Source organism: Homo sapiens, chromosome 9 (genome assembly GCF_000001405.40).
Source record: "Homo sapiens chromosome 9, GRCh38.p14 Primary Assembly".
NCBI lineage: Eukaryota > Metazoa > Chordata > Mammalia > Primates > Hominidae > Homo > Homo sapiens.
The window spans coordinates 122,742,002-122,751,015 of NC_000009.12; the positions used below are offsets into that span (position 1 = coordinate 122,742,002).

A 9,014-nucleotide genomic window follows, 5' to 3' on the forward strand; every position below is an offset into this window, starting at 1 on the left:
ATGCACACATCACCCTTACTGCTACATGGCTCTAATTCCCTTCCCAGGTGTAAGAAGCTACATCTCTGGAGCCCAGTTTTCCCACAGAGCTCAGTGAGGGCATCAGTGATGTTCCCCGCCAACCCCGCCCCTGCAATTCCCTGGGAAGACCACAGGACCAATCCTCACAGGGCTCTGGCATGCAGAGACGACAGGCGCCTGTGTCTCCCTTTTTATTACAATTCCCACCATAGATAAGGAAGAACTATCACATTTCTGAGGCTCGATCTGTACTTCAAGAAGCCTCCTTCAGAGATTCAGAGCCTGATCTTAACCCCATGGCAGATCCCGAAGTCTTTTTAGGCCCCTGAATCTCCTTTGTCAAGCCCACAGGTAGGCACACTGAGGGGACTTGATAATGGGAACTGTGGAGTCAATATCTTCAGGTGATCTTCTTCCCTTTTCCTTATCCTGTTTTTCTCTCCTCCATCTCAAAAGCCAGGAAACACAGTCTTTCTCTATATTTTTTCCTCTCTCTCTTTTTGGTCAAATATCAAATATTTGAAATATCTACTTTGTTCAAGACACTTTCTCCTGTCCTCAAAGGGCACAGCCAACATTCTGCAACTCAAGAGCCACAGAGTTATCACCTCCAGGAAACCAGGTCAACAGAGGAACAAGTGAACAAGATAGGGCAATGCAGAGGCTGAGAGCACACACTCTGGGAATGTAATCCACCACCCTCTGGCTGTGTGTTCTTAGGCAAGTCACTTCAGTTCTGTACCTCATTTGTGTTATCTGTAAAATGGAGTTGTTGTAAAGACTAAATGACTTAGTGTATGTCAAGTTTGTCGAGCAGTACCTAGCAATAACAGAAAGGCAAACTTCCACTCGTGATGTGGAAGAATTTCCTAACCCAGAGGTGTTCCACCCAAGGACTGGGCCCCTCCAGATATTGTGAGCTCCTTGTCTCTAGAATCACGGAAATTGAACAGTCGCTTTCCTAGGATGCTAAAATGATGAAGGTGAAAGGCAGAGGGGTCTAAAACCTCATGACATCTGAGCAAAACTCTCTGAGAATCCACAGCCCCTTCCTTAGGACTCGGGATACTTAATCTGTAATAGCTGTATTAGCAGTTGCACTTATAAATACTGGCTGATCACAGGTAGGGGAGGCACCAGGAAGAACTAATAGCTTGAGAGTTTAATTCATTGAATTATTGAGAGAGAGAAGCAGAGGTAGGCATCCAGAAAATCAGTGATTCCCAGGAGAAGAAAGACAGAAACAAAAGTGGGGCAGAAGCTAGCTGAGGACAACCTGAGCTGGATGAACTGGGTTCAATTATTGATCTGAGGGACCTACAGTGCCCAGAAGAACTTTCAACCTAAACTAAGTAGGAAATAAGAAATTAGGCTGAGATACCACCTTCTCTGAAGCAAGAGACATGAGGTAAACCTCTAATTTGACAAAGAAGACATTTCAGAGAACTGAAAAGAGAAGAAGCCAGCCTAGAAAGGACCTGCAGAATCCCCAAGTGGAACATATCTCTGTAGGGGGTCTATGCACCCAACACTGCCAATCTGCTTGCCTTACTGCTGGAAGAGAAAAGACAGTAAGCAAGAAGAGGCTGGAATCCCAAAACGTGGACCCAGAAGACATCCAGAGATCTTAAGGTCAGGTGTTGATGTTGCAAAATCAGAGGGCTGTTGTTTATTCAAGATCTGACAAAGCTGTAGTCCTAAGTCATAGCCTGTCATCTCTGAAGGCAAGAAACAGAGAAGAACACATGGCTTTGTGGAATTGGAGGCAGAAATGCGTGTAGGAAGGAAGGAAATCAAAAGGATCCCAATATGTAGGAGCAAAGGATAGGGTGGAAGGAGTGGGTCAGCAAGGAGGCTGAAGGCACTTGGCAATAAGATGGCCTCTGTTGACAGAGGACACACCAGCTTAGTTCTCTACTGCACATGTACAGTTTGGGGAAGAGGTGTGATAGAGCAGTTTAAAACACATAATTTACAGTCAGTGTGCCCAGGTTTGAACCCTAGATACACCACTCACCAGCTCTGTGACTCTCTGAACTTCAGTCTCCTTCGTTGTAAAGGGCAAAATAATGGTACTTCAAACGTAGTGTAATTGTGAGGATTAAATGAAACAAGTGGTAAGCACAGACTCTGTCTAATAAATGTTAGCTGCATTTTTCCAGTTTAGTCAATTCTCTACTGTCCTTGCTCATTCAGGGGAGTAGGTGCATGGATAACAAGTAGCTTTCCACCAGGATACTGCCCACCCAGCATCCCAATTTGGGAAGTGCATTGTGTGCTGACAATGTGTACTCCCCGGTTTCATTTGGGCTGTCAGTGCATACTCCCTGGTTTCATTTGGGCTGTCAGTGTGTACTCCCTGGTTTCATTTGGGCTGACAATGTGTACTCCCTGGTTTCATTGGGCCAAGAGAAGGACCCTGCATAAGTGATGAGTAAACAAGAAAAGGAAAAACAACCTGAGATGACAAATGTTCATAATGTAAAAATTTTAATAGAGAAAGTTTAGAAGTATAGAAATAATCCACATTTCCTGTCTGTCAAGGAAGGGAGTAAATACCTTTTAAAGTGAAATGATGTGACTTAGAAGGCTTAGAAAGACTCCCAGTCTCTCCTGGTCCTTCCCAATCACCACCTGATGGCAAGACCCATCATTAAAATGTCATTTCTCTAGCTTATTGTATGAGCAGTTATGCTAATCACTTGCAGTAGAGTTTGCCAAACACTCACTCAACTGTCATTTGACAGCTCCTAGGCAGGGTAGAAAGTGGCACACACACAAGCATACATGTGTGCACCATCATCTATTTGGAAGTGAAATGACTTGCCCGAGGCATGAGGAAAATACATGATGCTGTCAAATCCAGCTAAATGGGAAGGAGCTAAGTTACTGCCCCTGAGAAAAATCTCATAAATTTGGAAAATTCCAAGTTCAAGCCAAGGGTGATGAGATAGCCCTTTACCACCAGGATAAACTGTGTCCCAGGGGTGAAGCTAAAAGATACAGAGAAGGAAATGTGGAACGAACCCAAAGAGTTAAATAAGTACATTGCCTAAGAGTGAGATGAAAGTTATGTGTCTCATGTTGCTAATATCTATTGACATTTTCAAGATTTATAAACTCCATTTTAGCATTCCATATCTCAAGATCTATTCTACGCTGTAAAAATTATCTCATGGGTGAGAAATATGTATATACAGACAAAAAATATCCATTGTAACATTCTTGGGGTAGCGGAAGCATAATGAACCATTTAACCTCATTCCTATATGCAGTGTATATAGATCTATGCAGAGAAAAAGATCTTTAAAATATGCACACAATTCCAGTGGAATTATAGGAAATTTAACCTTTTAAATTACGAAATGACTATAAATAAACACACCTTTTTTTTTTTTTTTTTTATTTGAGATGGAGTCTCGGTCTGTCGCCCAGACTGGAGTGCAGTGGCGTGATCTCGGCTCACTGCAAGCTCCGCCTCCCAGGTTCAAGCCATTCTCCTGCCTCAGCCTCCCGAGTAGCTGGGACTGCAGGCGCCCACCACAACGCCCAGCTAAGTTTTTGTATTTTTAGTAGAGACGGGGTTTCACCGTGTTAGCCAGGATGGTCTTGATCTCCTCACCTCATGATCCGCCCGCCTCGGCCTCCCAAAGTGCTGGGATTACAGGCGTAAACCACCGCACCCAGCCAAACACACCTTTGTTTTTAAATACAGACAATACAATATAAAGTTAAGTATGAAAATTCAGAAGGTAACCACATTACACATAAACACTTTTTAAGGACTCTTTCCACACCACAACAAACACATTAAAAAAAATACTTTTCTTTACAAAAATGAGATTATTCTTTTTTTATTATTATACTTTAAGTCCTAGAATGTGCAGGTTTGTTATGTAGGTATACATGTGCCATGGTGGTTTCCTTACCCATCAAACTGTCATCTAGGTTTTAAGCCTGGCATGCATTACATATTTGTCCTAATGCTCTCCCTCCCCTTGCCCTCCACTCCCCGACAGCCCTGGTGTGTGATGTTCCCCTCCCTGTGTCCATGTGTTCTCTTTGTTCAACTCAAAAATGGGATTATTCTTTAGGCATTGTTCTCTACCTTGTTTTTGTCACATAACAAAATGTCTATGACATTTTGTGTTGTCTGTGCTATCAGACTGCCTGAATTCAAATTCCAGCTCTACCACTTACTCCCTGCGGGATCTGGTAAATTACTTAATTTTGCTACACTCTAAATTTATATCTGTAAGTTGTAATTATAATAATGTCTATGTCATAGGATTTGGAGAAAATAAAATGATAAAAGCTTTGCAAAGCACTGAACTCAGTGTGTAGCATATATCAGGTGTTAATAAATATTGGCTAACATTACCCATCTTATTTCTTTAGAGACTGCATGACGTTGAGTAATAAAAATATACTATAAACTGTTTAATAAATCACCTATTTGTGAATACTCTGTTTCCTCTGTGGTTGTTTTGTTTGTTATGTTGTATTATGTTTAGTTTGCTATTGTAAGCAACATCACAATAAAATGTCTGTACATATATTTTGATATACAAATATTACTATTTTTAAAGGATAGCTTTTCATAAGTAAAATTATTGGACAAAGAAGTGCAGATTTTCAGTTCTGATGGAGACTACCAAAGGGTCAACACTGATTTACTCTCTTACTGCTAGTATACATGAGGATCTAATTCCCTTTGTATAATGTCAAAAAAATTTGCATAAAACTGATGAGTGAGAATTGAATTTCAGTCCACATTTTCTGATTATCAATTATGCTGATCATCTTGTCATACATTTTATTTGGTAACTGTGTTGCAAATATTTTCATTGAGTCAATAGTTTCTATTTTAGCTTTGCCTATGATCTCTTTTGGTATAATTTTCAAATTTTTAAGTGGGTTATTTTGTCATTCTTGTTCTTCATTTCATTTCTTGCTTGGAATGACATTTCCATCCTGAGACTGTAAAAATGTGCTCCTTTAGTTTTGGCTCAAACTTACTTTGTAGTTTGGATTTTTAACTTTTAGGTTGTTCATTTATCTGGGTTTTATTTCTATGTGTGGGTTAGATAGAAATCTAGCCTTATACTTTCCAAGTGTTCAACCAATTGTGACAAATATCATTAATATTCCATTCTTTCTTTGATGCTATTAAGTTTTACTATATATTAAGTTGCAGATAAATTACTGTCTCTATATATCTACCTATATATATGTATGCATAAATACAGATCTACAAAATTCTTTATGGTGGTCCATTGATTTGTTTTTCTCTGTTTGTGCCATTATCTTGTTTTTCACTATTATGTAATTTGATTGGGGTTAGAAAAGTTCCCTGAAATTGTTCTAATTTTTTTCAAAATTATTTCATCTGTTCTTAGCCATTTATTCATCTAGGTGAATTTTAGAAAAACTTTCACAAGTTTCATTAAAAATTCCCCTGGGGTCTTATTAGAGGTGCATTGAATTTTATTAATTTGAGAAGAATTAACATTTTTAAAATATTGATACAAATATCTCTGTTTATTTAGATCTTCATTTTGTGTTCTGTTACAATTTCTTCAGATAAATCTTACTCATTTATTTTTATTGCTCAGGTTTACTCCTAAGTATTTTTTAGACTTTCTTAACACTGTCAATTGAAATGTTTTCCAAATTACATTTTTCTAATATAAGTATTAATATTTGTATATTTAATTTTATCTGGTTAGTTTGGTAAAGTCTTCATAGATTTTAAATTTTTTCAGATGATTATCTTGGATTTTCTAGGTGGACAGTTTCATCATTTCTAATGTTTATGTCTTTTAATTCTTACTTTTTCACTGATTGAGACCACTATATCAACAGTATAGCTTAATAGTGGTAACAGGAGCCATCCTTTTCTGCTCTTTTCATGATATTGGTAGAATAAGACTCTTAATGATCAAAGTTTTATAATCCTGTAATATTTGAATGTTTAGAAAAAGGATGTTATAATTTTATAATCAGAAAAGTTAACATACTTTAAAAACTAATCACAGTAACATAGGCTATTCCTGGTAGTACTCCTATTTTGAGTGACATCTTTGGACCAAACGCTTAAAATTAAAGTATCCACATCATATTAACCAAACAGAAAGGTTTAAACAGGCATTAAGCAGGCTTTGCTCTGAAGACTTAAGGAAGGCTCATCTGAATTCTGTGGACAATAAGGAGCATTGATTAATTCTGATGTTCATTATTGTACTATCTCAACTATCATCACCACCTCCAGAACTATGAGCAGGAGAGGACCCTGAATGAAAGGGTGTCATTCATGGAGATACCCTGAATGAAAGTATCCTCATTCAAGGTGGGACCCAGAAACCACTTCCTCTGGAACAAAAAAAAAAAGAAGCTAAGAAGTTGGTCAAGAGACAACCTAAAAAGAAACTTCAGAAAGGGAAATGAGAAGAACTCAGGCAAATTAGGCCACTTAGAAGTTCCGAAGAACACATGGAAAAATCTTTATCTTTCATTTGTATAAGTTTATGGGGTGCAAGTACAGTTTTGTTACATGAATACATTGTGCAGCGGTCAAGTTAGGGTCTTTAGGGTGTCTACCATGCAAATAACATACATTGTACCCATGAGGCAATTTATCATCATTCATTCCCCTTTTACTCCTGACCCCCACTTCTTCTGAGTCTCTATTATCCATCATTCCACTCACAATGATCCTATGTATATATTTGTGGCACCCACTTATGAGTGAGAACATGTGATATTAGTGTTTTCTGATTTTATATTTTTTTATTTGTATATTTGTATTTTTGTGCCTGGCTTGTTTCACTCAGAATAATGACCTCCAGTTCCATCCATAGTGCTACAAATGACACGATTTCATTATTTATCATGGCTAAACAGTATTCCATTGTGTGTGTGTGTGTGTGTACACGTATACGTACACACACCACTTCTTTTATTCATTCATCCATTGATGGACACTTAGGTTGATCTTTGCTATTGTGAACAGTGCTGCAATAAACATATAAGTGCAGGTATCCCTTTGATATATTGATTTATTTCTTTCTGTATTCTGTTCCATTGATCTGTGTGTCTGTTTTTATACAGCACCATGCTATTTTGGCTGCTATAGCCTTGTAATATATTTTGAAGTCAGGTAATGTGATGCCTCCAGCTTTGTTCTTTTTTCTTAAAATTGCTTTGGCTATTCTGGCTCTTTGGGTTCCACATGAATTTTAGAATCGCTTTTTTCTAATCTTGTGAAAAATGATATTTCTACGTTGATAGGGATTATGTTCAGTATGTAGATTGCTTTGGGCAGTATGGTCATTTTAACTATATTAATTCTCCTGATCCATGAGCATGGAATGGAAAATTGAAAATCTTCAGTTTCTAGTTTAGGAGGCAGCCTGGATAATTTTAACTGTTCCCTTGTTGGATTTTTACTACCTGTTTCTCCATGGTTTCTTAAAGTAAATATTTTTTAAAACTGTAACACAGTGAAACCCCGTCTCTACTAAAAATACAAAAAAATTAGCCGGGCGTGGTGGCGGATGCCTGTAGTCCCAGCTACTCGGGAGGCTGAGGCAGGAAAATGGCATGAACCCGAGAGGCGGAGCTTGCAGTGAGCTGAGATCACGCCACTGCACTCCAGTCTGGGCGACAGACCGAGACTCCGTCTCAAAGAAAAAAAAAACAACCGTAACAAAGGGCTATGAGCTATTTTTACAGGCTTAAGCTTATGAAAGAAGCTGTCTTGGTCAAACTGCCCTTTACATCTCTCCCACTGCTTCTCCAAACCCTATCCAGGAAGTCCAGAGACATGGAGATAAAGAACTACAGCAGCAGCACCTCAGGCTTCATCCTCCTGGGCCTCTCTTCCAACCCTCAGCTGCAGAAACCTCTCTTTGCCATCTTCCTCATCATGTACCTGCTCGCTGCGGTGGGGAATGTGCTCATCATCCCGGCCATCTACTCTGACCCCAGGCTCCACACCCCTATGTACTTTTTTCTCAGCAACTTGTCTTTCATGGATATCTGCTTCACAACAGTCATAGTGCCTAAGATGCTGGTGAATTTTCTATCAGAGACAAAGGTTATCTCCTATGTGGGCTGCCTGGCCCAGATGTACTTCTTTATGGCATTTGGGAACACTGACAGCTACCTGCTGGCCTCTATGGCCATCGACCGGCTGGTGGCCATCTGCAACCCCTTACACTATGATGTGGTTATGAAACCACGGCATTGCCTGCTCATGCTATTGGGTTCTTGCAGCATCTCCCACCTACATTCCCTGTTCCGCGTGCTACTTATGTCTCGCTTGTCTTTCTGTGCCTCTCACATCATTAAGCACTTTTTCTGTGACACCCAGCCTGTGCTAAAGCTCTCCTGCTCTGACACATCCTCCAGCCAGATGGTGGTGATGACTGAGACCTTAGCTGTCATTGTGACCCCCTTCCTGTGTATCATCTTCTCCTACCTGCGAATCATGGTCACTGTGCTCAGAATCCCCTCTGCAGCCGGGAAGTGGAAGGCCTTCTCTACCTGTGGCTCCCACCTCACTGCAGTAGCCCTTTTCTATGGGAGTATTATTTATGTCTATTTTAGGCCCCTGTCCATGTACTCAGTGGTTAGGGACCGGGTAGCCACAGTTATGTACACAGTAGTGACACCCATGCTGAACCCTTTCATCTACAGCCTGAGGAACAAAGATATGAAGAGGGGTTTGAAGAAATTACAGGACAGAATTTACCGGTAAAAGGAACAAAATGTTGGTGTGTCATAATTAAGACATGATCGAAGAGATTATCAGGTTATTCTTCCTTAGTAACTATTTTCCACGTGGCACTCAAAGAGGTCATGAAAAGTGGTGTTGGATACCAATAAGAGAATTGACCTAGGAGCAAAACAATTAGTTTCTATGCATGATCTTAACCAAATACATATTCAGTCTCAGGCTAGGTACTGTTAGGAATCCAGATTTCAGGAAA

At 39.6% G+C, this 9,014-nt stretch overlaps 1 protein-coding gene across 1 annotated transcript; it reads left to right on the top strand.

Moving 5' to 3' along the window:
- Nucleotides 1-301: 301 nt before the first annotated feature.
- On the top strand, nucleotides 302-8,782 carry OR1L6 (olfactory receptor family 1 subfamily L member 6). The gene is made up of 2 exons (NM_001004453.3): nucleotides 302-372; nucleotides 7,834-8,782. The coding sequence occupies exon 2, from the start codon at nucleotides 7,847-7,849 to the stop codon at nucleotides 8,780-8,782; it is 936 nt and encodes a 311-aa protein (NP_001004453.2). The 5' UTR covers nucleotides 302-372; nucleotides 7,834-7,846.

Excerpts from the sequence above, each read along its gene's own strand:
- OR1L6 (NM_001004453.3), top strand. The coding sequence starts at position 7,847 with ATGGAGATAAAGAACTACAGCAGCAGCACCTCAGGCTTCATCCTCCTG.